Source organism: Homo sapiens, chromosome 10 (assembly GCF_000001405.40).
Source record: "Homo sapiens chromosome 10, GRCh38.p14 Primary Assembly".
Lineage (NCBI taxonomy): Eukaryota > Metazoa > Chordata > Mammalia > Primates > Hominidae > Homo > Homo sapiens.
The window spans coordinates 79217840-79245421 of NC_000010.11; the positions used below are offsets into that span (position 1 = coordinate 79217840).

Below are 27582 nucleotides of genomic sequence, written 5' to 3' on the forward strand. Positions count from 1 at the left end.
GCTAGAAAATGGTCTTGGAATCTCACAAGGGACATCTATTCCTGATGGAGTGTGCAGTTTTAATAATGACTTAAGTCAATACAATGTTGACAGGGTAGAAATGACTTATCAAAGACACATACCTCTTAAGTGCCCGTTCTGTGCAGGCACCCAGCAAGGGCTGAATTTGCAAGGGCAACTAAACAGAAAGGGTCCTGCCTTAAGAAACTTATAGTCCAGAGCAGGGGCCACCAAGCTTTTTTCCATCAAGGGCCAGACAGGGGCTTTTGGGGGCTCTGTGAAAGCTGCCATAGATAGTACATAGAGGAGTGGGGTTGGCTGGTTCCACGAAAACTTTATTTATGAAAACAAGTGCTGTGTGCAGTGGCTCACACCTGTAATCCCAGCACTTTGGGAGGCTCAGGCAGGTGGATCACTTGAGTTCAGTAGTTCGAGACCAGCCTGGGTAACATGGCGAAACCCCATATCTACAAAAAAATACAAAAATTAGCTGGGTGCGGTGGTGCACGCCTGTGGTCCCAGCTGCTTGGGAGGCTGGGGTGGGAGGATCACTTGAGCCTGGGAGGTGGAGGTTGCAGTGAGTCAAGATCGAGCCACTGCATTCCAGCCTGGGTGATAGAGTAAGACCCTGTCTCAAAACAACAACAACAACCAAGAAACAACAACAAAAAAACCTAGTGATTAACTATACTTCTTGACCCCTAGTCTAGAGGGAGAGGAAAACATTGATCAAATAATTAGAGGGGTGTGTGTGTGTGTGTGTGTGTCTGTCTGTCTGTCTGTGTAAGCTCAAGCTGTGATAAGTGCCTTGAAGGAAAAGTAAAAGTGAAGGATGGCAAGGGGGTGTTGTTGAGGGCAGACCACTCTGGGGTTGCAGCAGTCTCCCCTGAGACCTGAAGGTTGAGTAAGTGAAGAAAAAGAGAAAGAGCGTCTTTGCAGTTAAGGGGACAGCCTGTGCAAAGGTGTTGAGGTAGAAGGGGAGCATGCACGGCTTTTTGTCAGAACTAAGAGAAAGGCAGTGATTCTGGAGCCCAGAGGCAGGGGGTACATGGCAAAGGCGAGGCTGGAGAGGTCAGCAGCAGCGGAAACATTCAGGGCCTGTCTTGGAGGTCACAGTCTTTGTCCTGAGAGTAATGGGAACATGGCTAAATGCTCATTTTGTGATGACAGCTCGGGCTATAAAAGAACAGATTGCACGGGGGGTGGGGGGACGTGGAGGCCTGCCTGGATGTAGGTGGCCAGTTGACAGATCACTGGGAGGTCGGGGTGAGGATGATGGTGGCTGGATCAGGAAGACAAGAGTGGAATGGAGACAGAGGGATATTTAAGAGGCAAAACTATGCCACAGAGGGAGAAGGAGACCTGGAGAATGGGCTGTCCCAGGAGCCCAGTGCCTCCCCAGAGGAGCAGGAGAGACTCAGGTCTCTGTGCAGTCCCTCCACAAAGGGTCACTGAAACCCCTGCCCTGCTGGCACGTGCTGGGTGTTCTCATATGTTTTGTGGTGGTGCCAAGCTTTGTGAGACACAGAATACTATCTACATTTATGGATGAAAAAATGGAAGCTCAGAGAGGTCCTATGACTTCCCTGAGGTCACCCAACTCATAAGTAATAGGCTGGAACCTGAACTAGCCTCCTGGCTGCAGGCCCAGGGCTCTGCCTGCCCCATCACACCAGGCCTGGGCAGCCCTCCATTTCCTTTGGAAAGAGCCCTTCATGCTGCTCAGGGGTCTCCAGCAAGGCCTCTGAGTGGCATTCCCAGCATCACTTCTTCGCTTGAAACAGGGATTTGTTCTTTCCTCCATCTGCACCCCTGCTTGAACACAGCCTTTGTAATTTAGAAAGCCCTTTCCCATGCATTGTGTCTGTGAACTCACGTGACACTCTGACACTATGCAGGCTCCCAGGGATGAATTCTCAGTGTACCCATTCTGCAGCTGAGAACACTGAGGCACAGCAGTGCCTGTGGCTTGGCCATCCTCAGATTTCCTTATTAGGAGTCAAACCCTTGTCAGTGCCCACAGCCATGACTAACTACCTTTCAGGGCCACCCATCCAGATATATGGGCTCTCGGGATCCCAGCCACCCCCTGCTTGCCCCATCTTCTGGAAAGGAAAGGGGGCCAGTCTGAGGAGGAAGCCTCTACCTGGCGGTTTTATTTGAGGGGTGAAGGACCTGCCAGGAGCAGGCTGGGCCATAAGAGGGGTGGAGGCCATGGGGAGCAGAGCTGGGACCCCAAGTCCCAGACATGGCACCGGCGCCAGGCCTCCTCTTGGCCACCTCTCCAGGCTGTGGCCTCGTCTGTGAAGAGAGCTGATTTGCCCACCTCATGGGCTGCCTGTGAGGATGCAGTGGGACCCCCTAATCATGGGAGTGAGAAAGGGGCCCAGCTAATACCTGACGCACACTGGGGGCCAAGTAAATATGACCCTCCAGCCTTCCTCCTCTGCTTCCATGTGTCTGTCTCTTAGCTGATGTGGTTCCCAGCCTCTCTAAGGCCCCTTCTGTGGCAGCAAGCCTGTTTCCCACTGTCCTCTCTCCCCTCGGCTCTGTGGGTGTGGGTGACCTGCAGTGTCCCTACCCCTGGGCACAGCCCCGGTGTGCCTGTGTGGGGATGGCCACTCCCACCTGCCCAGCCCACTTCCAGGGAGGCCTCTGCAGTTCCAGAGCTCGCTCCAGCCCCCAAGCCCCTTCAGCCAGTCTGGGCCACCTGTCCGCCCTCCTGCCTTTCCACACTTGTCTGACGTGCCTGTGCAGTTCTGCCCTCCCAGGGCTCCCTGCTCCTTTCTTTCTTTGGTCTTGGGTGTCTGTAGGTCTGTCTCTGTGCAGCGGCCCCTGTCCATCTCTAGCTTCCCGTGGCTTTCTCTGCCTTCCTGGGTTTCTCTGGGTCTCAGACTTTCTCCCACTGTACGTCTGTGTGTATGGTGTGTGTGAGGCTGTGTATGTTTGTGTTGGGGAGAGTATGTGGCTTTGTATGTGGGTGTGTGCCTGTGTACATGTGCATGTCTCTGTGTATGTCTGCATGGCTGTGCACATGTGTGTATCTGAGCATGCTGTGTGTGGCTGTGTACATGTACATGGCTGTGTCCATGGTGTGTGTATGTCTATGACGTATATGTACCTGTGTGCGTGTCTGTGTGTGCATGGTTGTGTACATGTGTGTATCTGCATGGTGTTTGTGCATGGCTGTGTATATGTACATGCCTATCTGTGTCTGCATGCATGTTATCTGTGTGTGGGTGCATGCCTGTGTGTGTCGCCCTGGCGCTGCATCCCCCTTCTGTCTCCCTTGTCAGGAGGCCAGGCCAGCCAAGGAGGGCCAGGATGAGATCATGCAGTGAGTGAGCTTGGAGCGGGGCTTTGTCAGGAGAGCTGGCGGTGAGCCGGCCGTGGTGCAGGAGCACGTGTGTGCATGTGCGTGCATGCATGCGTGTGTGTGTGTGCGTGTGTGTGTCCTGGGAGAGTGCGCAGGAGGCGAGCACAGGCAGTCACTGCAGCAGCCGCCAGGCAGGCGGCTCCACGCGGCCCTGGACGCCCAGCCCCCAGCTCTTTGTTCTGGCGCAGCCTTTAGCCTCAGAGCGCACGTGCGCGGGCGGGATCCTCCTCCTCACCAGGCCCCCTCCCTCCTCAGTACAGAAGGTCACCTGCCTGGCCCGGCATCCTGATGCTCCCTTGATTCTCCCCAGGCCGGGCCTTAGCATTGCCCCACCCCCACCTTCCATGCCAGCCCGAGGGGACTTGGCGGGCAGCACTGAAATGTCAGCCTCCTCATCACCTAGCAGTCCCACGCCTGCTGGCAACGTGGGCACCAAGCACCAGGCAGTCGCCATGTCGAGGTCCCCAAGAGCCTTCTGCCTGTCTCAGCTCCTGTCCATGCTTGAAGAAAGCCATATGGCCTCAGCTGACCCGTGAGCAGCCAGTCACTGTTGAAATAATCGAATAGGGAATGCTGGAGCCCAGGGCCCAGAGAGGGGAGGACCCACCCCAAGTCCTAGCGAGGCAGGGCCAGAGTCCAGAAGAGAGCCCGAATGCCTGCTGCCTTCTCGCGCCCTTCCTGTCTTCCTGAGGCTGGCCTCACAGCTGTGGGCTCCCACCCTCATGCTATTGGCAAAGTCAAAACGCAGAGAGAGCAGCAGGTCCAGGAGGCCTTGGAGCTTCCGCAGGATGTCCTGAGACAGGTCGTCAGAACTCAGGAGAGTGGTGAGAACTGGAAGAACTGCCACCACTGAGGAAGAGGCCAGCTTTCCTTAGGGATGAGTGGCTGGTGGCTGTCAATCAGAAAACACAGACTGGCTGCTCATAGGCCAGATGTGGCCCACAGACACCTGAGATTGGACCACTCAATGTTTTTTTTTTATGCATACAAGTTGCCAGCATTCACTGTTTAGGAAATTTGTACAACAGAGTCAAATGCCTGGCTTCCTTTGAGTGGGAATCTTGGACCCGCGTCCTCACAGCTGACTGGGACTGACTGGGTGGTGGTGGCTAACCTCTGGGACAGGCGCTGTGCCCTCCCCATCCTTCTCTATTGTCTCACACCCATGGCCTTCCCCACCGTTGGAAACCAGCCCTGTGGACATGAGTGTTTCTGACCTCTGTTCAAGGACACCCTCCCATCTCAACGCAGCAGCCCGAGTCCTGGGTCCCATGCAGAGTGGATCGCTTACTTTTTGTCCACAAACATCTCCTCAGCCTGGTTTCCCTGATGTTTTGACAGTCCCCAGAGGAACTGACAGCCATGGGAAATGTCAGCAGATCACAAGAGGGGGGCTGAGACATGCCCTGGGCCCCTGGCCAGCCTGGGAGGTAAAGATTCAGGAATGCAAAGGGGTCCCTGTCTCACCCTCCCTGTCTGTGGCCTGTGGTCCATGGAGAGAGTGCTTGGGAGAGGCTGGGTACTTCACTGGAGCTCTCGATCCCAGGGAGCTTCTATAACAACTTGTGCAGCAGCCCCAGGGCTCAGAGAAAGACCCTGACCCCAAGGGCCCTGGAGAGTGCTCCAGCCTTCAGATTGTTGGGAGAGGCACAGGTGTCAGAGGCCAGCCAAGTCATTTCTACCTCTTCTGCTCAGGACACCTTAAGCCAGGTCATAAACCACTGTTTCAACTTCTGTCTTTGAAAGCAAGCCCTCTTGCTCTCACCTGGCTGAATGGTGGACTCTCAGACCCCGTGGTGGTGGGGACATTCCTGGTCTCTTTTGGTGGCTTGACTCCGATCTCCCCCTCACGCCTCCCTTGTGGCTGCTCTCCACCCCTCTCTGCCTCTGCCCACCCCAGAACATGCAGCCGCCTTCCCGTTACTGGGAGGACAAATGGCCTTATTCAGGGACACCCTGCCAGAGCTGTCTCTCTAAGACAAAGCTGTGCGCAGCTCTGCGTGAAAAACAGCTCGCGGCCGCCCAGTGAGCAGGCAGGATTGGTGGGTGCAAATTGCAGGGGATTTGTTACCAGCTGCCGGTGCCCCAGAGACAGCAGGCAGGCAGGCCCTTGCCCTTGAAATGCCAGCCGCCTGGCAGGCTGGGGCACCTTTTCAAGGTCGGGACAGACTTCTTCCTGGACACCGGCCCCCACCCCCACATACAAGCTCAGCAAAGCTGGGATGTTGGGGAGGGGTTTGGCTTCCTTCCTCCTGCTGGGCTGTCTCCACCGCCCCGGTCAGGTGCCCCTACAAGGGGCTCTGGATTTCATCACCCGGCCCTCTCAGAACTGACTCATGGTCAGATCTGTTTAGTGGACGAAACCTGTTCACGCGCTCACCTCCCTCTGTTTCAGTGCCGTGGGAAAGGCAACTGGCGCTCTTATCAGCATGCCCATTAATAGAGGAGGAAACGGGAAGACACAGACCCAGGTCACATGGCTTCTGGTGCTGGAAGCAGGTCTGATTTCTAGGATGGTCAGATGTGGAGTACAGGGAACCACCTCCCTCTGAATTACCCTGGGTGAACTGGTGGGTGGCCTGGCCTGGGCCAGGGGCCCTGGCCTCCGTCCCCTCCCCCACCTCCCTGAGGGATGAGGCCTGAGATCCGGTGGCCTCACTGTGCTCTTGGAGAAAAGGGATGGTTTATGGACACAGTGTTCCCAGGCCAAGGAATTGGGGGGAGGGGCAGCTGTGATGGTCCCTGGGGTTCCAGGAATGAGCAGTGGGGAGGGGCCCTGCCATGCCCAGAATGAGAAAGGGCAGATGTGGAAACAACTTCCAGGCTATTTCTACGGCCATTAAAACGAGGTCTCCAAAGAATGATGACTATGTGGGAATGCTTACATGTAATATTAACTTTCCAGAAGGATAACAGAGTGCTAGACTTAGTATGATCCCAGCCAGGTGCAAAAACAAAACGTACATGTATTTAGGCACAGACACCAGAAGAGAATATACCAAAATGTCAACTTACAAGTAATGGCTCTATCTGGAGGGGGCCGGAGGGTGACTCTTTTCTTTGTTTCCCACATTTTCTTCTTTCTGTTTTTAAGCAGAAGCAGCAGCAGTCATGGGTTTCTTCAGAGTTTGGTTGGAGTTGGCAGGGGCAGGGTGAGAAGGAGAGCCGGCAGCTCCTGGCTGGGTCAGCAGTTTTCCTAGCGCAGCCCTCTCTGGTTCCCCGAGAGCTCCAGGGGACAGACCTCTCATCTGGGGGATTAGCTCATCACTGGCCCCCCTGCCTACAGAGCGGGGGTGTACACAAGGACACCCTGGGCCGAGCCAGTGGGTACCTGCTTTCCAGGCCTGTCCAAAATGAGAGGGGAGCCTGGAGGATGGGACCCTAAGAAGGGCCTGCTTCTGTCACCAGGGCCCTCAGCAGCCCACCCCCTATGCCGCCCCACGGCCACCTGATTGGGATAGGGGATCTGCACAGTGAGTAGGAGTAGGCATTAACGAGGTCTGTAGTAGGGGAAGGCCAGGCTGCTGCAGGCATTGCAACTAGATGATGTGTGTCTGAGTGTGGGTTCCCACAGGCAGAGCCTGCGGTGAGGATTCCAGTGCAAGTTGTTCCTTCAGGAGGATCCCAGAAAGCACTGATCGAGAAGTGGAGGAAATGAGATGGGGAAGGGAAGGAAATCAGTGAAAAGAGTGGTTAGGAAGCACGTAACCTGCTGTGGACACCTGGGGCTCAGTCCTGCTGGGAGTGCTGGCAGCTAGAATGTGCCCCTTACCCACCTGAGAGGCGAGGAGGAGGAGGCATTTCTCCACCATCTCTCCACCATTATTGGGCAAGGTCAGCTTGAGGTCGGGGAGCAGGTGGATGAACCCTTGGCACTCGAGTTAGCAGAAAACGCCCAGGCAGAGTCCCAGTGCATGCAGTAAGCAGAGGCTGTGTAGAAGAAGCACCCACAGTGCCTGCAACAAGATGCTTTCCAGACTCAGTCACTGGCATCACACCCCCATCATCTCTGCTTTATTTCAGTACCGCTTGTATTAAGATTGAGTTCTTAATATTTCTTAAAGGAAATTTTATATTGCTTCCTTAAATGGCAGATCAGTCTCCCTTACCACATTCAGAAACTGCCAAAACAAAGACAGTAGAAACCATACCTTGTCTCCTAGTTTAGCTACAGGTGACTGCTCAATGATGGAGGGTGAGCCAGTTCTCTGCTAGTTAAAAAGGGAGGTGATGGCCGGGTGCAGTGGCTCACCCCTGTAATCCTAGCATTTTGGGAGGCTGAGGTGGGAGGATCACTTGAGCCCAGGAGTTTGAGACCAGCCTGGACATCATAGTGAGACATCTCTACAAAAAAATTTTTTTAATTAAAAAAAAGGGGAGGTAAAGGGTGAAGGGGTTTAGAAAAGGCTTAAAGACCAGTGAGCACCAAACTACTGAGCCTCTCTTCTTAGAAACAACAGCATCCCAATGATGGAAAGACAGCTGAGGTTGCAGTGGTTCTCCCACTGGGACCTGTGACTACCTAAGCAACCTGGGGGGCCATATCACCTAGACCACACTTGAGGGTGCCCTAGTTAAGAAGTGCAGCTCTGAAGGAGGCTCTGGGGCCTGGGGTAGGCTGTGCCCTGCCCAGCAGCCGTCTCATCCTCAGTCTGTCCATCTACACCATTTCTCTGCCTTCACGGCTGCAGGAAGAATGATGAGGCCGTGGGTGTGAGAGTGCCTCTTAAAATAAAAAATACTAAACTGGAATTTTAAGGGCGAGGGATGACAAGCTTCTTGTGCCAGGCCCACCTCATGCTAAGCACAGGGCCTACAAACACATACACATGCAATACACGCAGTCCCTTCTCTCCTGGTTTGAAATAAGTGAATGCTCCCATTCTGTGGGTGGGAGATGGCAGTAACCGTGCAGGGCCACACAGCCCTTCACCCTCCCTTACATGTCCAACCCTATGACTCCTCCAGATGAGCTTGTTCCCATTTTAAGGGGAAAATAGAGGCTCTGAGGGGTGGGGAGGTGGTCTCGGCAAGGGCAGAAGTGGGACCAGAGCTCTGGCCAGGCCATCCCTGCATCTCTGCAGGTCACCAGGGACTCAGTGGTGCTCCCGAGGAGCTGGAACAGCTTCTCTGGAGATGCAGGGCCACAGGTATCACCATGCCTGCCTTCCCGAGCCTTCCTGCATCTGCCTCTAGCCACCCTATCCACAGGTGCACCCAGGACAGAGGTCCTGCCAAAACAACCCCCACCAGCACTGCCCCAGGTTGCCCTGAGGATGCCATGGCTGCCCAAGGAGTTAAAAAAGCCATTGGCAGCAATTAATTCTGTAGAGGAAAGAGCCAGGTAAGAGGATTAAGGAAGCCAGAGCTTTGGTTTTAAGATGGAGCTTAGCATTCTCGCCCCCAGAGGAGGGATTTCAGGGGATTCGAGGGTGTGAGAGTGAAATGGAGCAGGGCCTCGGTAGAAGGTGGGCAGGCTGGTTGTGGAACTTTTTTTAACCAAGTGTTGCAAGCCACAGCCTTGTAAATACCTTGTAAATACCAAAGTATGTACCTTCTGGGTTAGACAGACAGATAGGCATTAATGATGGTACGGTTATCATCAGTTTTGCCTCTTTAGACATACAGAGCCAGGACAGGTCAGGGAAGGGCATCTGGATTAGGAAAAGATCTGATTCCTAGCCCCTTTCAGTCATGATGCAACCAACATTAAGTTCTGCATTTTCTCTGTAACAGGCACTGCCTTGAGTATCCATGAACTCACTTATCCCACATGGTGATCCCAGGTACTCATATCTACCCCATTTTACAGATGAGGAAACTGAGGTTTAGATAAATAAAATAATTTGACCAGGGCTTTCTGGCCAAAAAGAGCCAAAATTGTGATTCAAACAAGAACATTCAACCCCAAAGCCACCAGCTGCCCCTGCTTTCTATGAACAGGTTAAAATGAAGTCTTGGGAAAGACACAGTAATGATTTGAGAGCTGCCAAAGATCACCTGAACTGCTTGCAAGTGGAGGCCTTAAGTGTTTGACAATGATTTGTCCTTGCTGGTAGGTTAAACACCCTCCCATCTTTGGGCTCATTCAACACTCAGGGTCCCATGGATGATGAATAGCAGAGAGCCTGGGTCAGCCCCAATTTCAGATATTTTTTCCAGAAGCCATTCAGCTGTTTCATAGAGAAGGGTGGTCATTAAAAAGCATGGATTCTGGAGTAGCCTGTCTGGGTGTGAATCCCACCCAGCCCCCTAATCACCAGTTCTGAGACCTTGGAAGAGTCAGTTAACTCCTTTGTGCCATGGTTCTCTCGTTTGACAAAAGGGGATTATAATAATGCCTACATCATAGGTTTTAAGTGGGTTAAGGTCTATACAGTGCTTGGAACAGGGCCAGGTGTATAGGACATGCTGTATATGCGTGAGAAATTTTATTCCAGCCTGTTGGCATTCATGCTCTCTGAAATGCCTCTCATACCTGGAGGTAGCACAAAACCTAGTGTTGTAAAAATATGGAACCCTTATGTGTAGGTAGGGCCAAGGTAAATGCCAGTCACACCACCTCCAAGGGTGTGGAGATGAGTGGGACCCTGTTAACTAAGGTGGGGTAAATGGGGTCTCCAAGACAGCAGAGGTTTAGATGGGGCTAAGAATGCATCCCCCCTTTCCCCAAAAAAGAATCTGAGCCACTGTGCAGGAGGCAGGCAGCCCTGCAGAAGGGGAAAGTAGAGAGCTGGCAGAGGGAGGCTGGACAGGGCCCACAGCACCCTGTCTGTGCCCTGGGCAAGGGATGTTTGAAGGCCTCTGTCTCACCATTCCCATCCTGTCTGTGCCCTGGGTGAGGGAAACCTTGAGGGCTTCTGTCTCGCCAAGTCTTCCCAGCAGCCCAGCTCAAAATTATTCAAAGATTGGTAGGAGGAAGAGAAAGTAACATTTAAAGTACCATTTATTGAGCTACTGCTTCATGCCATGCATTGCAGCTGGGTATTTTATGATCCTCATGAGAATCCAACCCATTCTATAGATTAGGAAACTGACGCTCAAAGAGATTTATTCACTTGTCCAAAGTAGCTCAACCCTTTGTATAACAAGGCAAGGGATGAGTGAAGACATGGCTCTGAGTGGATGGATGTGTGGGCCCTTGAGTCTGAAGAGAAGAAGGAAGAATCAAGAGACTGGGGGAGGAGGGTTGTGGACCTGGGCCTGCCCCAACTCCAAATATGGTGCTCCTTCTCCTCCTCCATGGTTGTGCCTTCTTCTCTTCCTCCTTCCCTGGGATCAGACTCATTGTGAATGTGCCTCTTGCCTGTTCCCAGGGCCCATCTGGCACACAGGGGCAGGGAGGAAGGCTCAGGCCAACAGACCCCTGCCCTCTTGCCCCTGTGAGCTGCCCAGGTCAGCATGCATGGCAGAGCAAGGGCTCGGAGGTGAGGGTTCAGGCCCTGGAAATGGGTCTCTGCCTGCAGGCCCCTAGCCCCTCCTTGCCTCCACCATTTCAGTGTTCCCTGAGTCAGGGCCAGCTAGCTTCTGGTATGGGGCTAGTCTCAGGCTATGTAGAGCCCAGTGCTGGAAACCAGAATTGGGGGTAGCCTAGGACAGGGACCTGAGCTTGGGCTTCAAGATCAGGCTGACGTGGGCCTGGTTTAGCTCTGCAGCTTCCATGCTATATGTATCCCCGGCCTCATCTCCCAGCCTCTCATGAAATGATAGGTACCAAGTATGTAGCATAAACTGCCATCTCATGAGGGCTCTGCATGTAATAGTTCTGATTATTTTGAAGTCCTGCTTTACAGTCCAGGCTCTGAGACCTACTTGCTATGTGACTGTATGCAAATCACTCTCTCCACTGAGCTTGGGGTCCCACAGATCTAGAATCCAGCTCTCCTGGCTGGAGCAGCAGCAATTCTGTTTCCATGGTAACCCAGCTGTCTCTCCAGGGACCATCTGGATCTCCTCACCCTGACAAGGTGCGGCCCAGGCAACCAGGTGTTTGTGTTTTGCAGTGGAAGCTCTGCAAGGTGGTAATTCCCCTCACTGGGGACAGGGCGGTGGCCAGGCAGATGGCTGGAGGGAAGCAGAGCCTCCTTGCCGGCTGCCTGTGCTGTTCTGAGCCCAGAGAGACACAGAACCCAGAGCTCGGGAAGTCTGGCCACGGCTTTCCTTGAAGAGTTATTAACAGATGCTTCATTATATTCCTAGGAAAGCTTCCTGGCTTGTTGAGGCTGGCCAGGTGAGAAACACTGCCTGGGGCTGGACTCCTGTAGGGAATTCCAGAGGACCCAGTCTCACCTGTTTGGGATGAAGAGACACTATTGTCTCTGCAGGAAACAGGAATTACTGGGGGGAAACATTAGCAGTCTGCCTTTCAAACAGGCACATAATTATAATGACGGCAGAAACTCAGCGCACAGGATAAGCTAAATTCACCCCTTCAACGTAAGCTCATGGGTAGCTATTATGTTTAGACTCTGTGATCCGTACTTAGGGAACCCTGTACTCCCAAAGGAGCTCACAGACCCAGACCTGGCAGGGACATGCTTAGGAAAAGATGGTGTCAACAGACCCACAACACAGAACCACACTGTGGGGTGGGGAAGCAGAGAGGCGGGACCAGCCACTTCCAGCAGGAAGTTTCCAACCTGGACTGGGTTGGGACGGTGAGGGGATAGTCATCTGCCATCAGTTTACATAGGTGAGCCCCTTGACTTACAACAGCCCGCAACAGGGATCCCCTGTGCTTCTTTCCCAGGTGAGGAAACTGAGGCTCAGAGAGGTTAAGTCCCTTGCCCAGGGTCACACAGCTAGGGAGGGACTGAGCCAGGATCAGAACTGACTCGTTGCACCCTGTGTGGGGACGCTGCCCTCCTCCGTAGGTTGCCCTGGGAGGCTCCGGCCGAGCAAAACAGTTCTCTGCCTCTGTCCTTTTGGCTCTTTCTCTCTCTCCCCGCCCCCCTTTCTCCTTCCTCTCTTTCACTCTCCCCGTCTCCTTTCTCCTCCTTTCCCTCTCTCCCCCACTTCCTTTGTCTCTCCCCTTTCCCCTTGGGACCACTGCTCCGTGCACCACAGGTCCTGCTGCTCGGCTCTGCCAGGGTCATCTGCAGCGTCTGCTCTAGGTGGCCGGCTATCTGCTCACAGGCTGCTGCCCTGCTCCAGCCCTGGGCCACGCCCCCAGAAATGCCTGCTGTTGTTTAGCTCTGCCCCCTCCTGAGGACCCTCAGCCAAGGAAGTGACATCATTGCATACATTCCCATTTCCTCCAGGCTCCGTGTGGTCTTGAGCCCACTCTCAGATGTGCGCCCCAGATGTTTAGAATCACTTCCTCCCAATTAAGCGTCTGCCGGGAGTCGAGGGGCCCGCCTGTGTGCAGGGTCCATGTCTGTTCAAAAGGGTCTCAGAAGAGAGAAAATGGGAACTCCTCCCTGCACAGACGGCGGGAAAGTGGTTCACTGTTGAGCTCCCTGGGGAAGCCGGGAAGCCAGCACTCTGAAGCATGCTGGATGCGGTGGAGGTGGTGCCTGTGCTTGATTGTCCGCCCGTGTGGAAGCGCGAGGATGTGCAGGTGGCCCAGTGGTCTCCAGGGAGAGATTTGAGTGTCAGGGCCTCTGTGCCTAGTTCTCCTCCCTCTCCAAATGGAAAGAGAACTGTGGGAGGAGAAAAACAAAAGAGAAGAAAGACACAGCCCCTCTAAAGAAGGAGGGCACAGGTGCCAAGGTGGCCCCATGGGTCAAGGCCCAGGGTGTGGACCCCTCCTCCGAGGGCACTCATGCCCTGCTCGGGCTAGGCTAGGTTTTAGGGTTCCGGTCCTGTGCCTCCTCCTGGGGTGCCTTTGCTCTGTGTCAGAGTCACATGTCCACACAGCTAGGCAGATGACACAAAGATGGCATCTCACTGAAGATACAGAAGTGATCAGGGGCACCAGAGTGCCCAGCCCCACCAAGGGGACAGCTGCTACACAGGGGCCACCTGAGGCCATGCGTGACACACACCCAGAACTGCCAGCACTTGTGATTCCACAAGAAGCTTGGAGTTATTGTTTTTGTTTTTGTTTTGAAACGGAGTTTCACTCTTGTCATCCAGGCTGGAGTGCAATGGCGCGATCTCAGCTCACTGCAACCTCTGCCTCCCAGGTTCAAGCGATCCTCTTGCCTCAGCCTCCCCAACAGCTGGGGTTGCAGGCAACCACCACCATGGCTAATGTTTGTATTTTTAGTAGAGATGGGGTTTCACTGTGTTGACCAAGCTGGTCTTGAACTCCTGAACTCAGGTGATCTGCCCGCCTCGGCCTCCCAAAGTGCTAAGATTATAGGTGTGAGCCACCATGCCCAGCCTAGGAAGCCTGGTGGGGGGTTTTGTTTGTTTGTTTTTTGTTTTTTTTTGTTTTGAGACGGAGTCTCGCTCTGTCACCCATGCTGGAGTGCAGTGGCACGATCTTGGCTCACTGCAACCTCCGCCTCTCGTGTTCAAGTAATTCTCCTATCTCCGCCTCCCAAGTAGCTGGAATTACAAGCACACGCCACCACGCCTGGCTAAAATACAATTTTTAGTAGAGATGGGGTTCCACAAAGTTGGCCAGGCTGGTCTCGAACTCCTGACCTCAGGTGATCCACCTGCCTCAGCCTCCCAAAGTGCTGGGATTACAGGCATGAGCCACCGTGCCCGGTCATGCCTGGTGTTTTTAATGCTATTGACCACTCCTGTGCAGCTAGTCCAGTGAGACTGAGGCTGGCTCTTGGGTGGCCAGTGGAGGCACTGGGCTGAAATCATTTGAGGAACAATGGACCCATGAATGATGGGAGGAGGGTCAGTTTTTGGAGAATCTAGTGGAGGTTGGCCACCTTGAGCTTGCCTCCTGCTCTCCTGCTTTAGAGCTGTGTGACTTTAAGGAACTGACTTAACCTCTCTGATCCTCAGCTGTTGCATCAGGAAACGGGGCTAACTGTAACCCTCGTTTGGTGCTGTCTGCGTTGAGGATTAAATGGGAGGATATAAGGGAAAACTGTGCCCTGCATGTAGTGAAAACTCAGTGTCTTATTTGCTACATCCCAATGACTGAGACAGAATAGGTGAGTGGGTGGTACCCCTGCACCCCTCAAAAAATCACTTATGGGAGGAAGATGGCTGGTATGGGAAGGAGGATACTGTGTGTTGGACAGCAAAGGGGAAGCAGGAGGACGGTGTATTTTTGGAGGTCACAAGATACATAATAATTCATAGGTATACATAATAAGTATTGGTGGTAGGGTTACATTATCGTTACTGTTCCTCTCTGACATGAATGTCAGAGTGTAGAGGGCTTTGAGGATCACCTAGCCCAAGCCCCAGTTTAATCTGAGAAGAGACTGACACAGGGTGGGGGATGCAATCTTCCCAGCATCCCTCATCGTACCAGGGGCGAGGCTGGCATTACTCCTGCTATTATTGCCACCATACCTTTATGTGAAACCCTAACATCATCCTACTACTACTGCCAATCAGTTAAGGAGTTACCATGTTTTAGATGCTAGGCAAAATACTGCATGCACATCCTCTCCTTTCAGCTTTACGAAAATATTAAGGTGCAGGTGCGGAAGGAATGTGAGCTAAACCCCCTCCTGCTTCTTCTGACTTGGTGTCCCTGTGCAAGATGTGCCACTTTGAGCCTCCATTTCCTCATCTGTGGAATGGGAACAGCACCACCTGCCCCCTGGGGTTCCAAGCATCCAAGGGGCTAAGTGATAGGAAGTACTGATGCCCAGTACTGGTTCCATGAATGCCTGGGGAATCTGGAGGCTCCCTCTTGGCTCCTGGCTTCCAGCCACGCCCCCGACACCAAGGCCTCTGTCAGTACTGGTTGTTCCTCAGTGCAATTAGGTAATTAGGCCAAATTCAATTACACACCACACTCCCAGGTTTGTCTGGGGCCCAAGGGGGGTGTGGGCTCCCCTTGTTGAGGGGGAGCAGCAGAAGCACTGGCTTGGTTCCCAGGGCTGGGCCTTCCCACTGTGCCTCTCAGAATACTGCCTGCATCCTGCATCGCAGCTGGGGAGACTGAGGCAGGGAACAGGCAGCATTGCTTGGCCCCTGCCTTAGTCTGTTCAGGCTGTTATAGCAAAATACCTTTGACTAGGTAACTTACAAACAATAGCAATTGATCACTCCCTGTTGCAGAGGCAAGATCAGGCTCTGGCAGATTTGATGTCCAGTGAGGGCACGCTCCCCGTAGATGGCACCTTCTGGCTGTGTCCTCACATGGGTGCAAAGAGCGCCCTCAAGCCTCTTTCATAAGGCACTGGTCCCATTCATGAAGGTGTATTCCTGATGACCTAATCCTCTCCCAAAGGCCCCAGCTCTTCGTACCATCTCAATGGATTAGATTTCAACACGTTAACTTAGAGAGGCACAAACACTCAGACCACAGCAACCCCAAACCGTAGCATCCACAGGGCTGAGATCACCATGCCTGATTTTTTTCCCCTCCTGGAGAGCGTCACCCCAGACTGCTGGCCCACAGCTCACCTTCCCTTTCAAATTCATCAGCAGGGGCCTGGCTCCTCATCCTCTGGAAAAGCCCAAAGATTGGTAGGGAGGGTGGGGGGGCCTCAGCTTCCCTCTGCCACCCCTGGATTTGCAGCAGTTTCCCCTCCTAGCTGCAGGCTGGCACCCAGCTGCTGCCCAACACTTTGATCGGCATATGGATCTTTTGGGAGAGCAGGGGCTCTAGTGAAGTTGGGCAAACCAGAGTGTATATATGTCTTTAAGGGTCTTGCCGGGGGAGTCAGGCGAGAGCAACCCAGGCTGAGGGCAGCAAGATGGCCCTCCTGGAGACCAGGCATGACACTTCTAGGGACCACATCATCTGAGTCCTTGAATGCCAATCTAAGGAGCTTGAACTTGATCTTGACACCCCTGGGGAGCGAAAGAACGTTTTAGACAAGGGATGACATGGTCAGATTTGCCTCAGCAGGTAGAGGAGGGACTTGGGTGCTAGAGGCAGAGAACATAGTTTGGAGGCTGGTGCAGTTGCCAGGATGCCAGGACACCAGTCTGCTGGGGTGGAAGTGTGCCGTGTGTGGAGGGAGAGAAGCAGAGGTGACTCCCCAGCAATGCCTCGTGCCCACGCCCTTCCCTGGGCCTCGGAAGCTCAGGTGGTGACATGGCTGTTTTATGCTTGACTCTTGACTTACCAGTTCTGAGGATGGATGGTACACAGCACCTTTCCCAGGGAAAAGGTCTTAACTTTGGATTTCATTCTGAAATGAAAGTGGTTTTATGGAATTTTTCTTGTAAGTCCAAAGATAATACATACTATGTGTAGGACAATCAAGGAATACAGAAAATTATAAGAAAGTAAAGCTGACATCCCACCACTGTGGAATAACTTGGTGAATATCCATTAGTCATGCAGGAAACATTTAACATACTTAATAGATAAACATACTTAACAGATAAACCACAAATAAATATAGGAGAATGGAACCATAGAGGGCCTGCCACCTTGGAACCAGCGTCTTTGCCTTGACAAAATGATGTGTGTTGTAGACCTCTTGCCTGGCCCACCTGTCAGCCTACTCCGGCCTTTACAGGGAATTAGCAGGAGTCAGTTCAATAATGACATTTCTTCTTGGAGCCTACCCAGCCAGACTTGGGGAGGCCAGTGCCCCCGGCAGCAAAGAGAGGTATGGCATCTACACTAGATGTCTTCACTGGGGGAGAGGGGATTAGGGTCCAGAGAGGGACAGTGACCTGCACCTGGTCACACAGCAAGCTCCCAAGCCCCTTTCCAGGTAGCATCTGTCTCAGTTGGGGACTTGGCCTCCTGGGCCAAAGAGCACGCAGTTCTGTGAGCTCAGCTCTGCAGGCCCTGATTTCAACATCAGGCCTCCCACTCCTTGCCCTGCCCTGGCGGCCACCTTTGGATTTCTCCCAGACATTCCTGTGCAGCCTGTCAGCTCATGTCCAGAGCCCCTGGAGGTGGGGGACACCTGGGACCACACTGGGGAATGAAGGAAGCCGCTGGCTCCCCTCATCTGCCATGGACCAGGAACAAGGGGCTGGAAGGGAGCAGGCACCCGGAGAACCTCCTCTCACACGGGGTGGTGAAAGGAAGGCAGGAAGGCTGCACCGGGTGATGAAGGACTCCTGGCAAACTTTTCATGGGCTTGGGAGGTTCCTAAAACCGCGCAATTGCTGCCCAGAGCACACCGAGGTGCTCGGGCTTGCTTCTCAACCACCTCTCCTCCTTTTACCTCTCCTAGCACCCTACAGCAGGCCTCAGAAGCCATAAGCCCACCAGTACAGGGTCCCTTCTGCAATTCTCCATCCTCAGCTCATATGCCTCAGGTGACAGGCTGCTCCCTGCTACTCCCTGGCAGCCCTGACTGTCAGAAATTCCTTCCTTCTTTGAGCCCAAATCAGGTTCACCCACCCATCTTCAGGATGCATGTGATTCCCACAGTAGGTGAGGGAAAGAGCCGACAAGTCCAGGTCTAGCCCTGACCTCCCTGTGAGCAGGAGGTACCGGGTAGGATGGACCCATCCCATCAGAATCCCACACTGTGCTGGGAAAAAAGAGGCAACTGATGGGCAAGAGTCCTTTAGAAGAGCGTATCTGCCTAGCACTTTGCAGTTTGCAGGGCATGCCCTGGACGCTACAGTTGGCAGGAATACAGTGCCAGGATAGACAGCTTGGGGCCGTGGAACAAGCCAGGAGTCTGGGGTTCTAGTCCTGGCTCTACAATTAATATGCCATGTGACTGGAGGCAGTCCCTGCCTCCTCTTTGAACCTCAGTTTCCTCATTTGAAGAGGGAAACAAGGGCCTCTTTACTCTGATGTCGATTGAGCTGGCTTGATTGCAAATGGATAAGTAGAGGCTCTGTCAAGAAAGGGGCTGGAAGGAATAGGCCACACATGGTTTCCAGGCACGATGGGTCCGATGGTGGCTGGGACACCTGGTATAGTAGCCCTGCCTGGTCCTGCAGCCTGGGCCAGAGTGTGTGAGTGGCCCCAAATCTTTTCCCAAAGTGAGCCTCACTTTCTTCCGCTGCAAAGTGGAAGCTTTGTGCTCAGCTGCCTTGTGAGCCTTTGTCTGGGAAGCATCAGGAACAGAATTTGGCTGCTCCAGCCCAGACAGGGAGGTGTGCCGCACAGCCAGGCAGGCAGACAGTCCGGCAGGAAGGCAAACTGCATTTCCAACTGCAGAGAGCTTATGTCAGTCCAACCCTGGGGCCATTCGGAAGCCCCCATCAAAGCTGTGTCCTGGGAGAAGCAATGAAACCCCAGGACTGCTGAGGCACGGACATTCGAGCTGCCGTTGCCGTCTCTTCCCTTCAAAGGCGACTCCAGAAATCAATGGGAAGAGATTCATTAGAGACCTGGGTGGCGCGCTCCCCACCACCTCCAGCAGCCCCTTTGTTAACCAGCCTGAGCTTCCTGTCTGAACAGGCTGCCTGCCCCTGAGAAACAACCCACGTTCTAGGAAGCAGGTCAGAGACCTAGGCTCCGGGCAGGGCAGCAGGGCCACCACACACCCTTAGAGGCTGTGATTGTTCACTGTGCATTCAATCATTCTTGGTTCACTCATTCATTCAGGCAGCTGGTCCTTGTTTCATTCATACAGCTAATATTTATAAAGCATCTGCCTGGCATATTTTAGATACTGTCAATATAACACATCCAAAACAGACTAAAGTCCCAGTTGACATGGAGCTTGCCTTTTAGTGAGGGAGACAGCATTAAACAAGGTAAATAATTGAAATACACCAGCCAACAATGCTAAGGACAAAGCCACGTCAGGAGACTCACAGGCATGTCAGAGGGGGCTGAGTTGTGGTCAGTGTGGTGGCGGGGGCTCCCCAGTCAAGGGGTCCCCCGAGGGAAAGCCTGCAGGATGCGGGGATGTGGGGATGGAGCCAGGGCCACCTGGAGAAGAGCATTCCTGGCAGAACCCTGGAGGTGCATCGGGTGCATTCACAGCTAGAAGGGCATCGAGGCTGGACCAGAGTAAGCCGAGGGGGACTGGAGGGAAATGAGGTCAGAGAGATGACGGAGACTGGAGGCTGGGTCACGCGGGGGGCTCAGCCACAAGGACTTGCATTTTACACCAACGGGGCCAGAGCAACATGAGGAAGGGTCTTAAGCAGAAGAATGTTTTGTGACTTAGGTTTTAACGGATCCTCCATTTTAGTTTGCTAAGGCTGCCATAACAAAGTGCCACACAGCGGGTGGCTTACACAATAGCGATTCACTGTCTCACAGTTCTGGAGACCTAAAAGCCCAGAGGAAGGTGTCAGTAGGGCCAAGGTCCCTCAGAAGGCTCTAGGGAAGGATCTTCTCCAAGGTTCTCTCCTCGCTTCTGGTAGTTTCTTGGCTTGTGGCAACATAACTTCAGTCTTCACGTGGCATTGTCCCTGCATGCATGTCTCTGTGTCTAAACTTCTTTTTATAAGGACACTAGTTCTGATGGATTAGGGCCCACCCTAATGACCTCATCTTAACGTGGTCATCTGCAAAGGCCCTACTTCCTTCCAAATAAAGACACATTCACAGGTTCTGGGGGTTAGGAGTTCAACATTTTTTGTGGGGACACAGTTCACTCCCTAACACCATGGCTTCTCAATTGGTCTTTCCTAGGACCTGGTGTTAGGTGGTCTCACCCTTGTTTTACAAAGGAGGAGGTCGAGGCTCTGAAAGCCTAACAGCTCGTCAGGGCCACCAGCTAGTCAGAACTTGTTTCCTGAGCCTCAGCCTCCAAATCCAGGCTCCTCCCTTCCCTCTGCAGCGCCTCAGTTAGCCAGGAGAGCATGGCCAGTTCCTTCCTGTCTCCGCCCTAGCCCTGGGGGCAGCCCCAAGCCCTACCGGCTCCCCGCTTGCCCCCTCCCCGCTCGGTAGCCTGGGGCTGAGCAGGTAGCTGAGCAGGCTCCTCTGAATGATCATTTTGTGTCTGGTTCACGTGCCCCCTCCCCTCAGAATCCTCTCTTCTCCTCTAGCCTGGCAGGATGCTTTCCTGGAACCCCAGTAACCTTGCCCTTGTAGAACTTCTCGGAGGTACTGAGTGGAGGTGTGGGGCACCGGGTGGTATTGTTTTCAAAATGAAACGATTATAGGATTTGGGTGGAAGCCAAATGCAGACTTCTGGGAATGCAGCCTGGGTCCAGGATGAGTGGCCCTGCTGGAGGATACGCCCAGGAAGGGGAGCGGGGTAGAGTGGCAGGAGGCTAAGAGGCATGGAGGTCTCACTGTGCATCGTGTCCCTGTCCCCCACTCAGGTGGAGCCCCAGCAAACTCAAAATGTCACACAAATGCTTACAAATGCATAGATGCTAAACTCTAAAAAGAAACACAATGAAGCAAGAACTATTTCAGTATTTGTAATGTGGTATGAGGGAAAGAATATAAAACGGAGTTGGGGGCATGAGCTCTCATCACAGCTCTAATTGACTGTGTGACCTGGAGGTCACCTTCCTTCTCTGGATCCTAGACTCCCACCTTGGGAATATGTGATGGTTATCAATGCATACTTTTGAACTGGATTGCCAAGTCATTTAAACCCTTGGGCAAATTGTCTAAACCTCCCTGCGCCTCTGTTTTAGTTTCTGTACAGTGGAAATAGCTCCTGTCAGAAAGGTCTGGTGGTGAGGATTGTTAATACTTGGAAAATGCCTGGAAGTGTGCCTGCCAACCAGCAAGCTCTCAGTAACCATGAGCTGCTTATTACACCAGGAGAGCAGAGGCCAGGATCCTGCTTGGGCCCCTAGCTCTGTGACCCCGTGTGTGGACACAGGAGGGGTTCTGAGGTCTGGTGGGGATGCCTGCATTGGCCAGGAGCTCAACCGCAACTGTCCCTTTCATCTTAAAGACTAAGTGAAGACCTGAGGAGGTTGACCAGGATGAGGGGGGAAAGGGAGTGGGGACAGAGAGAACAGTGTCATAAAGACACATGAGAGTTTATGCCCTGACCCCTCAGAGGTTGGCAGAAGCCCCAGGAAGGGGTCTCTGGAGGCAGAGCCCCTGAGTTGTCTCATGCCCCAGGGCTGCTGTTTGAGCCTTCCTTGGGCAACTGAGCTGGCTGTGTGATAGCTGCTCCATGCCAGGTCCCCGGTATGTGTGCATCCATTTGTTGAATGCCCACTCTATGCTCTACACTCCCACGTGTCCTGAGAAGGACCAGGGATGTGAAGGTGGATGGCCCAGGCAGCTCCCAGGGCCTGAGCTCATGCCTGTCACTCTCACGTGGACACGTGGCTGGGGCCTCCTTGTCCACCTCACCCTCCCTCTGAGCGCCTACGCCCGCATGGGTGACATCTCCGAGTCATAGGATCCTTGCTCAGCCCTGCTGAATCAGCAGACCCTGCCTGAAGAAGAGCTCTGTGTCTCAGAACCCAGCACCCAGCAGAGCCGTCCCTGGCTTCATTGTTCTCCCTCTAAGCGGTCAGAGGGAGCCTGGCTTTTGTATGCTTGTCTTTCCTTGCTAGTGGCCTCTCAGCCCCCAGGCCTCCCACTATGCAAAGCCTTATACAGGAGGTGACCCAGCCCAGAACCACTTTGACCCCTGGGTGACCTACATCCTAGGTGGCTTGATTCTTTTTACTGGGTAATGCTGGGACAGGATCCAGGAAGCCCATCCCTCTGTGGGTAAACAGGGGAGCCCTGGAGAAGGCCCCTGTCTGCGCCCCCAGCTTGACTGGAAGGGTCCCCACCCGCCCCCACCCCAACCCCACCCAGTTGGTCTTGCAGAGGCAGGCTCCGCATGGCAGGCTCCTCCAGCTGGGTAAAGCATCCTCCCTCCCCTTGCTCTCCCGAGCAAGCCACCACTGCCTTCCCGGCTGCAGCGCCGTGATTTATCGGCGGCTCCTCCTCGCCAGGGCCCACGGCAGGAGGAGTTCAAACACCCGCGAGAAAAGCCACCCGCTATTGATCCTCGCGTCAGGCCTCCCAAGCGCTGGCGGGCATTCATCAAGGAGCCGCAGCGCGGGGGCTGCAGCTCGCCCTTTCTTCTTCCTTTCTTCTCTCTCCCAAGTCATTCCCCTGGGGCTATGCCCCCCTTGCCGAGGTCACTCAGAGAGCTCACCAAGTGCCTGTGAGCTGAGGTGGAGAGCGCCTTTGTCTGCGGCCTCTTTGCTGTAGATCCTTATCAAGGGGGTGGAGCGGGCTGCTTTGGGCCCCAGGCTTTTGAGCAAATCTTTGGAAGTTGGAGAAGTGGAGTTGGAACTCGGAACAAGTGGAGAAGGCCCTCTGAAGCAGAGACTGGTTGGAGTGCCCGTATTTCTGTAGACCGGAGGCGTGTAACTAGAAAGAGTTTGCTAACCAAGTGGGCCAGAGAGAGCCTTGAAATTAGCATCTGAAAACCCCAGCTTTGGCCTGAAGGCCTCCCGTGCAGTCTGGTGAATGGATGCTTGAAAACAATTTGTTTTCCTAATTACGTAAATCTAGTGAAGAGTATTTATCTTTTTTTTTTTTTTTTTTTTTTTTTTTGCTTACCTGGGGAAAGTCTAAAATCTCTGGTCTCAAGCCGGAGGAGCGTATATTAATTCTCTTCTCCAGCCCCACCCTATGACTTACCAGAGTGGGTACCTGGGAGAACAGGGAGATGGGGTAGGGAGACTGGCAGGTTGTCTTTATTGAAGTTTCCTGGGCAATGCCACCAGGTCTGTCCCCCTCTGGTATAAACCTCTGCTCAATTCCAGTCCAAATTCTGGCTCAACCTACCAAAGTGGTTTTGCTGAACTCAGCTCCTGGGGCTGGCCACATGGTACCAACACATATAGGATATCTCAAAAATGAATTTGGAAGTCCCAAACATGCGGGTCTTTGGTGGCTCAGAAAGCACTAAGGATCAGATTAGAATAGTGAACTGCCATTGCACAGAATGGGGAAGGGTTTGTGTTCTGGTTATTTCAGATAGTGGCTCTTTGGATTCTGGATAATGGAGGTCCAAGTGTTGACATTGTTAAAAACCAGATTAACAGTAGAAACCAGATCTTAGGTACATCCATCTCAGTGTTCTCTTGGAACACGTGAGCCATATTGTCCCACCACATCTGTTTTCTGGGTGTCATTTGCTGAGCAGTGGGCTTTAGAGTAGGTCAGTCATCTGGAGGATCTGCAGTGGGGAGATGGGCGAGTCTTCACTGGACCCCTGCCTGCGGTGCTGCTTGGGAGGGCAGGGCCCCAGTGAATGTCTCAGTGAGTAAATGACTGTCCCCAAAGAAGCCATAATAACCTACAAGGAGATGAGATGGAGGTGAGGATAAGCAGAGCCTGGAATTTGTGCAAAGCTGAAGGGAAGTCCTTCCCCTGGCTGCCCTGGGGTTGGCCTGCCAGTAAGGGGATGCCAATTAATTTCTCTTGCAGGAAGCTAGTTCGTGTCCAAAAGGCTCAAGTTATGAAGTACGAATTAATCCATTTAACCAGCTTCTCGGAGGGAAAGCCCATGACAACTGCATTTTCAAATGCCATCCTGAAAGCGATATTTCAAGTGGCAGTGGGTGGGATTAGAGCCTGCTAACGATTTATGTCAAACAAGGAGCAAGAACATTATTTCTAGATAAGTGATTTGTCCCAGCAACTTCCAGGGCCGGCAGGAAGGTTTAGGGGCCAGCCAGAGGCTGAGGCTGAGAAGAGGGGATGGAGTCAGGAGATGTCACCTCAAAGGCCAGTGAACCTGGTCAGCTCCCGGTGTTGGCCAGGGCAGCAGGGCACGGCAGTCCAATACAGAGGAGATTTTAAAGACAGTCATGGCTGCCCTTCTTTGGGGATGAATGATGGGGACTCACTTACCTTCCTAAGTGTTTGGGGCAGTTAGGTCACCACACAAGCAACTTTCACAGGCAGGTGGGTGGGGCTGGGGGAGGGAGCTATAAAATACAGTTTCTCCCGAGGGGGTAATGATGACAGGGAGTGCCCACGAAAGAGGAAGGGGCGAAGATCTCTGGAGGTGGGACAGCAGGTGGGCTTCCAGGGGTGTCTAAGGGGCAGAGAGGTGGGGGGTGAGCAAGCGCTGAAAGCCCGGAGCCCTTGCGACAGACTGGCTGGAAGGAAGAGGCCTCGGCCACCACAGGATGCAATGTCAGGAAGGCAGCAGCTCCCGGGGCGGGGCAGGGCCGCGCGCAGCCGCCCCCGGCTTCCCTCCTGCCGCCAGCTCCTGGTCACAGGAACTCCCCGAAGTCGGGGAGCGGGAGCGTACGTGCGCGTGTTCACCCTGTCCTGGGCCCCTCGCTCGGGGAATCCCGGGGGTGCCAGGGCACCCAGGGTCAGGGAAGTAAGATGCCGGGCCGCCTACCTTCTCCACCCCGTAGCCCGTTCCGAAAATCCTTTAAACCGAGATTTAATCTGGATGCCTAGCCCCGCCCTCCCCTCCCCTCCCCTCCCCTCCCCCCGGCCGAGGCCCCCTCCAGTTCAGCTCCCTCCTCCACCCCCTCCCCGCCGTGGACCCTCATTAGCATGCCCACTTGGGAGGATTCGCTGGGGGGCGGGAGACACCCGAAGTCATCCACCGCCAGCGCCTTCCCGGCGGCCTCCTCGGGCGACAGCGCTCCGGGAGCCCCACTCGCACAAGTGTTGCTTCCAATTAATTGCCTGGGCGGGGGAAGGAAAGGGGCCTCGTCGCCGCCCCCGCCCGGAGGCTGGAGTGCTGCTCGTCGGGTCGTGCGTTCGCTCGGCAGCGGCGTGCACCAGCACCACCCCTGCGTGCAAGTTTGAAATGTGAGCTGCCTCCGATTCATACTCGCTCGCGCTCCCTCGCAGCGAAGTGGCTGGGCTGACGGTCTGCGCGCGCGAGTGAGTGCGGGCGGCGGGCTGGGGGGCGGGGTGCGGACGGCGAGGCTCGCGGGGCGGGGAGGGCGCGCGCGAGCCGGGGCTCCCTGGAGACGCCAAGGCAGGTCTGCTCGCCTTTCATCTTCCTCCCGCGCTCCTCCTCCTCCTCCCTCCCCTCCCCCCGCCGCGGCTGGCCTGGCCTCCCCCGGAGCCCCCAGCCCCACGCGGGCACACGCAGGGTGGGTGGTCACGCCCGCAGGGTCCGCGAGCGCGGCGCAGAGCGCGGGCCGTGGGAAGTTTCTCCGGCGCGCCCCGTGCGCCCCCGCCCCCCGCGCGCCCCCGGCCCATCCCCGTCCCTGGAGAGCTGTCGCTTGCGCCCGGGCGCGCGGCTGGCTGCCTCCTCGGCGGCGGCGGCGGCGGCCCCATTAGCGGAGCCTCCGCCTATGATTGGCTTCGCCCGGGAAGCTGGAGACGGGCGATGAATAATTGATGTGTGCGGTGCGGTAGCCGGACGGCGGCGGCGGTGGCGGGCAGCAGCGAGCGGGAGCGCGGGAGCCGGAGCGCCCTCGGAGCGGGCAGCGCGGAGCGAGCGGGCGCCGGACCCGCCCGGGCCCCCGCGCCGCCGCCGCCGCCGGGGCGCGGAGCGGGGATGCAGGCGGCGCCCGCTGCCTGCGCGCAGCCTTTGTTCGGCGCTGGCTGAATCCTACCCGGAGTCGCTCGCCGCGGCCGCCGCCGGCCGGGCCCCAAGCCCCCGAGGGCGCCAGGGCGGGATCGCGACCGGTGCAACTTCTAGGTAAGTGCGGGGTCGGAGGGGTCGGCGCCTGGGCGCCCACGGGCCGGGCCCTGGGCTCCCTCCGGGCGCGGGGGTGAGTGTGCGTGCCTGTGTGTGACAGAGGAGGGCCGGTGCATTGTGGGTAGCGCCGTGTGCTGCATGGTGTCAGCCCCAGGCTTGGCCGCGAGAGTGGCACCGGCGTGCACCGGGCCGGTTTTGTGTGCCCACAGACGGGGCCTTCATTTCTCTTTGGGGCCACGGGGCAGAGTGCGCCCCCACCCAGGTCCCTGAAGGTGAAGTGTTGGCTCTCCAGCAGACATTTTACGAGGCTCTGTGCTCAGTCGGCTCACGCTGCAAAAATAAGAATCGGCCAGGATGCCTTCGGAGGCAGCGCCTGAGGGTCCTCGACTTCAAGCTGCTCCTTTGTCAGAATGCAGCCCTGATGCCTCCAGCGCGTAGAGACCCCACGGGCACTGGTGATGCCACCATTGCGGCAGGGTGCCCTTCGCAAAGGTGGTGGGTGCCGAATAGACTTCTGACAAGTGTTTGCTGGCAAGCTGGCTAGAGGAGAGAGGTGGATTTGCACCAGAGGGCAGGAAGCAGCCTTTCAGGAGATGCCTGGTTGTGAGGACCTTGTACAAGACCTTGGAGAAAGAGCCCCTTGATAGGGACTAAGAGGAGGCTGCCTGGGGTCCTGAGCATGTGGTTTTGGTATTGGTGTCTTCGAAGCCAAGCCATGGTGCGGTGGGCACCAGATAGGTACCAGTTCCTGGGTCGAGAAGCCCTCTGGGGGGAAACTAGGAGAGGTCAGCTGGCACTTCTTTAGACGGGTTTCAGGAGACTGTCATTCCTGCAGTGGGGACCCAGTCCCTTCGCCCTTGACCATCAGGCGAGACTGCCAGATGAGTGTTGAGCAGGGCTGATGGCTCTTCCAGCAGGAAGGCTTTGTGTGGCAGGTGGCATGGAGTTGGTGCCAGTGTGCTTCTCATTGGCCCATCTTTGAGAGTGGCCACAGAAATTGGGCTGAGGAGAGAAATCAGGCTGAGAGTCAGAAATCTGGCTGAGGAGTGAGTTGGGGTGAAAAGGCCGTGCCATCCTGAAGTCAGGGTGACCCCAGATGTTACGTGGGGGCTCCGGCTCCCCCAGTTATGGGGCTCTGGGCCTGAAGCTTATCTCCCATCTGCTATGGAGGAAAGGCCCTGTCCCAGGGGTTGCGTGGAAGGGTGACTCTTGGAGTCCACGTGGCTCCTAACAAGCCTTTCCCCTTTTTTTGTGTATAAGCCAGGCAGTGACTACCCTCCAACTAGCTGGATTCAAGTCCCCTTCTGAGCTATTTTTATCCTGAACTTCCTTAGTGAGAAACCACCAAACGGCGATGCTTTGGTGAGAATCTAGGTCTTTACCGGAAGCGCAGCCTGCACAGAGTTTACACCTCGCTACATAAGGCTGCCTCCACTGCCCTGCACAGCCCTCCCCTGGCTCAGAGCCCCTGTGCCTCTCTCATGCCTCTTGATTCTCATCACAGCCTGTGCGCTCAGGGACTTTTGAGCCCCAGTTTCAGATGGGAAAACTGATGTGCCCGAGATCATCCAGTTGGGGATGTAGGAGGCCAGGCCTGGCTCCAACAGGAGCAAGACCTTGATGCCAGTGGGCTCCCTGAAGGCAGGGACCACGTGTTTCTCATCACCGTATGCCCCAGTGCCA

The 27582-nt window shown here is 54.8% G+C and overlaps 1 protein-coding gene across 12 annotated transcripts in view, besides 28 other annotated features; it reads left to right on the forward strand.

Annotated features, from left to right (window-relative positions):
* ZMIZ1 (zinc finger MIZ-type containing 1) overlaps positions 1-27582 on the forward strand; it is a 247554-nt gene that overhangs the window by 148874 nt on the left and 71098 nt on the right. Inside the window, exon 1 of one of the 12 annotated variants that reach the window (XM_011539979.2) lies at positions 25074-25130. The exons of the other annotated variants lie outside the window; for them this stretch is intronic. The gene's annotated coding sequence lies outside the window, so the exon portion shown is untranslated. Of the gene's footprint in view, positions 1-25073; positions 25131-27582 lie in introns of those variants that run through there. 12 annotated transcript variants of the gene reach the window in all.
* Positions 2720-6446: an enhancer, noted in NCBI's record as "VISTA enhancer hs1767". NCBI's record gives its function as "enhancer in: heart[7/12] | other[7/12]" and the evidence as "EXISTENCE:transgenic organism evidence [ECO:0001131][PMID:17130149]".
* Positions 2720-6788: a biological region, named in NCBI's record as "VISTA enhancer hs1767".
* Positions 5311-6049: an enhancer, noted in NCBI's record as "H3K27ac-H3K4me1 hESC enhancer chr10:80982907-80983645 (GRCh37/hg19 assembly coordinates)". NCBI's record gives its function as "activates a minimal SCP1, AML or CMV promoter by ChIP-STARR-seq in primed H9 embryonic stem cells {active_cell/tissue: H9 hESC(primed)}" and the evidence as "EXISTENCE:reporter gene assay evidence [ECO:0000049][PMID:30033119]".
* Positions 6050-6788: an enhancer, noted in NCBI's record as "H3K27ac-H3K4me1 hESC enhancer chr10:80983646-80984384 (GRCh37/hg19 assembly coordinates)". NCBI's record gives its function as "activates a minimal SCP1, AML or CMV promoter by ChIP-STARR-seq in naive H9 embryonic stem cells {active_cell/tissue: H9 hESC(naive)}" and the evidence as "EXISTENCE:reporter gene assay evidence [ECO:0000049][PMID:30033119]".
* Positions 6789-7526: an enhancer, noted in NCBI's record as "H3K27ac-H3K4me1 hESC enhancer chr10:80984385-80985122 (GRCh37/hg19 assembly coordinates)". NCBI's record gives its function as "activates a minimal SCP1, AML or CMV promoter by ChIP-STARR-seq in primed H9 embryonic stem cells {active_cell/tissue: H9 hESC(primed)}" and the evidence as "EXISTENCE:reporter gene assay evidence [ECO:0000049][PMID:30033119]".
* Positions 12393-12687: an enhancer, noted in NCBI's record as "tiled region #8427; HepG2 Activating non-DNase unmatched - State 15:Elon, and K562 Activating non-DNase unmatched - State 7:EnhWF". NCBI's record gives its function as "activates a minimal TATA promoter and a strong SV40 promoter by Sharpr-MPRA in HepG2 and K562 cells {active_cell/tissue: HepG2 | K562}" and the evidence as "EXISTENCE:reporter gene assay evidence [ECO:0000049][PMID:27701403]".
* Positions 18564-19192: an enhancer, noted in NCBI's record as "H3K27ac-H3K4me1 hESC enhancer chr10:80996160-80996788 (GRCh37/hg19 assembly coordinates)". NCBI's record gives its function as "activates a minimal SCP1, AML or CMV promoter by ChIP-STARR-seq in naive and primed H9 embryonic stem cells {active_cell/tissue: H9 hESC(naive and primed)}" and the evidence as "EXISTENCE:reporter gene assay evidence [ECO:0000049][PMID:30033119]".
* Positions 19193-19821: an enhancer, noted in NCBI's record as "H3K27ac-H3K4me1 hESC enhancer chr10:80996789-80997417 (GRCh37/hg19 assembly coordinates)". NCBI's record gives its function as "activates a minimal SCP1, AML or CMV promoter by ChIP-STARR-seq in naive H9 embryonic stem cells {active_cell/tissue: H9 hESC(naive)}" and the evidence as "EXISTENCE:reporter gene assay evidence [ECO:0000049][PMID:30033119]".
* Positions 21708-22336: an enhancer, noted in NCBI's record as "NANOG-H3K27ac-H3K4me1 hESC enhancer chr10:80999304-80999932 (GRCh37/hg19 assembly coordinates)". NCBI's record gives its function as "activates a minimal SCP1, AML or CMV promoter by ChIP-STARR-seq in naive H9 embryonic stem cells {active_cell/tissue: H9 hESC(naive)}" and the evidence as "EXISTENCE:reporter gene assay evidence [ECO:0000049][PMID:30033119]".
* Positions 22337-22964: an enhancer, noted in NCBI's record as "NANOG-H3K27ac-H3K4me1 hESC enhancer chr10:80999933-81000560 (GRCh37/hg19 assembly coordinates)". NCBI's record gives its function as "activates a minimal SCP1, AML or CMV promoter by ChIP-STARR-seq in naive H9 embryonic stem cells {active_cell/tissue: H9 hESC(naive)}" and the evidence as "EXISTENCE:reporter gene assay evidence [ECO:0000049][PMID:30033119]".
* Positions 24005-24956: an enhancer, noted in NCBI's record as "H3K27ac-H3K4me1 hESC enhancer chr10:81001601-81002552 (GRCh37/hg19 assembly coordinates)". NCBI's record gives its function as "activates a minimal SCP1, AML or CMV promoter by ChIP-STARR-seq in naive H9 embryonic stem cells {active_cell/tissue: H9 hESC(naive)}" and the evidence as "EXISTENCE:reporter gene assay evidence [ECO:0000049][PMID:30033119]".
* Positions 24005-25393: a biological region, named in NCBI's record as "H3K27ac-H3K4me1 hESC enhancer GRCh37_chr10:81001601-81002552". NCBI's record gives its function as "regulatory_interactions: PPIF".
* Positions 24248-24748: a transcriptional cis regulatory region, noted in NCBI's record as "chr10:81001844-81002344 region (GRCh37/hg19 assembly coordinates) targeted for CRISPR interference". NCBI's record gives its function as "negatively regulates PPIF gene expression in LPS-stimulated THP-1 monocytic cells {active_cell/tissue: THP-1(+LPS for 4hr)}" and the evidence as "EXISTENCE:mutant phenotype evidence [ECO:0000015][PMID:33828297]".
* Positions 24458-24597: a silencer, noted in NCBI's record as "silent region_2533". NCBI's record gives its function as "represses an Ori minimal core promoter by ATAC-STARR-seq in GM12878 lymphoblastoid cells {active_cell/tissue: GM12878}" and the evidence as "EXISTENCE:reporter gene assay evidence [ECO:0000049][PMID:35858748]".
* Positions 24648-24757: a silencer, noted in NCBI's record as "silent region_2534". NCBI's record gives its function as "represses an Ori minimal core promoter by ATAC-STARR-seq in GM12878 lymphoblastoid cells {active_cell/tissue: GM12878}" and the evidence as "EXISTENCE:reporter gene assay evidence [ECO:0000049][PMID:35858748]".
* Positions 24827-25327: a transcriptional cis regulatory region, noted in NCBI's record as "chr10:81002423-81002923 region (GRCh37/hg19 assembly coordinates) targeted for CRISPR interference". NCBI's record gives its function as "negatively regulates PPIF gene expression in GM12878 lymphoblastoid cells {active_cell/tissue: GM12878}" and the evidence as "EXISTENCE:mutant phenotype evidence [ECO:0000015][PMID:33828297]".
* Positions 24884-25384: a transcriptional cis regulatory region, noted in NCBI's record as "chr10:81002480-81002980 region (GRCh37/hg19 assembly coordinates) targeted for CRISPR interference". NCBI's record gives its function as "negatively regulates PPIF gene expression in anti-CD3- and PMA-stimulated Jurkat T cells {active_cell/tissue: Jurkat(+anti-CD3 and PMA for 4hr)}" and the evidence as "EXISTENCE:mutant phenotype evidence [ECO:0000015][PMID:33828297]".
* Positions 24893-25393: a transcriptional cis regulatory region, noted in NCBI's record as "chr10:81002489-81002989 region (GRCh37/hg19 assembly coordinates) targeted for CRISPR interference". NCBI's record gives its function as "negatively regulates PPIF gene expression in BJAB lymphoma cells {active_cell/tissue: BJAB}" and the evidence as "EXISTENCE:mutant phenotype evidence [ECO:0000015][PMID:33828297]".
* Positions 25028-25317: a silencer, noted in NCBI's record as "silent region_2535". NCBI's record gives its function as "represses an Ori minimal core promoter by ATAC-STARR-seq in GM12878 lymphoblastoid cells {active_cell/tissue: GM12878}" and the evidence as "EXISTENCE:reporter gene assay evidence [ECO:0000049][PMID:35858748]".
* Positions 25708-26037: a silencer, noted in NCBI's record as "silent region_2536". NCBI's record gives its function as "represses an Ori minimal core promoter by ATAC-STARR-seq in GM12878 lymphoblastoid cells {active_cell/tissue: GM12878}" and the evidence as "EXISTENCE:reporter gene assay evidence [ECO:0000049][PMID:35858748]".
* Positions 25708-26293: a biological region, named in NCBI's record as "CRISPRi-FlowFISH-validated PPIF regulatory elements GRCh37_chr10:81003385-81003885 and GRCh37_chr10:81003389-81003889". NCBI's record gives its function as "regulatory_interactions: PPIF".
* Positions 25789-26289: a transcriptional cis regulatory region, noted in NCBI's record as "chr10:81003385-81003885 region (GRCh37/hg19 assembly coordinates) targeted for CRISPR interference". NCBI's record gives its function as "negatively regulates PPIF gene expression in BJAB lymphoma cells {active_cell/tissue: BJAB}" and the evidence as "EXISTENCE:mutant phenotype evidence [ECO:0000015][PMID:33828297]".
* Positions 25793-26293: a transcriptional cis regulatory region, noted in NCBI's record as "chr10:81003389-81003889 region (GRCh37/hg19 assembly coordinates) targeted for CRISPR interference". NCBI's record gives its function as "negatively regulates PPIF gene expression in anti-CD3- and PMA-stimulated Jurkat T cells {active_cell/tissue: Jurkat(+anti-CD3 and PMA for 4hr)}" and the evidence as "EXISTENCE:mutant phenotype evidence [ECO:0000015][PMID:33828297]".
* Positions 26685-27517: a transcriptional cis regulatory region, noted in NCBI's record as "chr10:81004281-81005113 region (GRCh37/hg19 assembly coordinates) targeted for CRISPR interference". NCBI's record gives its function as "negatively regulates PPIF gene expression in GM12878 lymphoblastoid cells {active_cell/tissue: GM12878}" and the evidence as "EXISTENCE:mutant phenotype evidence [ECO:0000015][PMID:33828297]".
* Positions 26685-27547: a biological region, named in NCBI's record as "CRISPRi-FlowFISH-validated PPIF regulatory element GRCh37_chr10:81004281-81005113". NCBI's record gives its function as "regulatory_interactions: PPIF".
* Positions 26891-27391: a transcriptional cis regulatory region, noted in NCBI's record as "chr10:81004487-81004987 region (GRCh37/hg19 assembly coordinates) targeted for CRISPR interference". NCBI's record gives its function as "negatively regulates PPIF gene expression in BJAB lymphoma cells {active_cell/tissue: BJAB}" and the evidence as "EXISTENCE:mutant phenotype evidence [ECO:0000015][PMID:33828297]".
* Positions 27168-27247: an enhancer, noted in NCBI's record as "active region_3630". NCBI's record gives its function as "activates an Ori minimal core promoter by ATAC-STARR-seq in GM12878 lymphoblastoid cells {active_cell/tissue: GM12878}" and the evidence as "EXISTENCE:reporter gene assay evidence [ECO:0000049][PMID:35858748]".
* Positions 27418-27547: an enhancer, noted in NCBI's record as "active region_3631". NCBI's record gives its function as "activates an Ori minimal core promoter by ATAC-STARR-seq in GM12878 lymphoblastoid cells {active_cell/tissue: GM12878}" and the evidence as "EXISTENCE:reporter gene assay evidence [ECO:0000049][PMID:35858748]".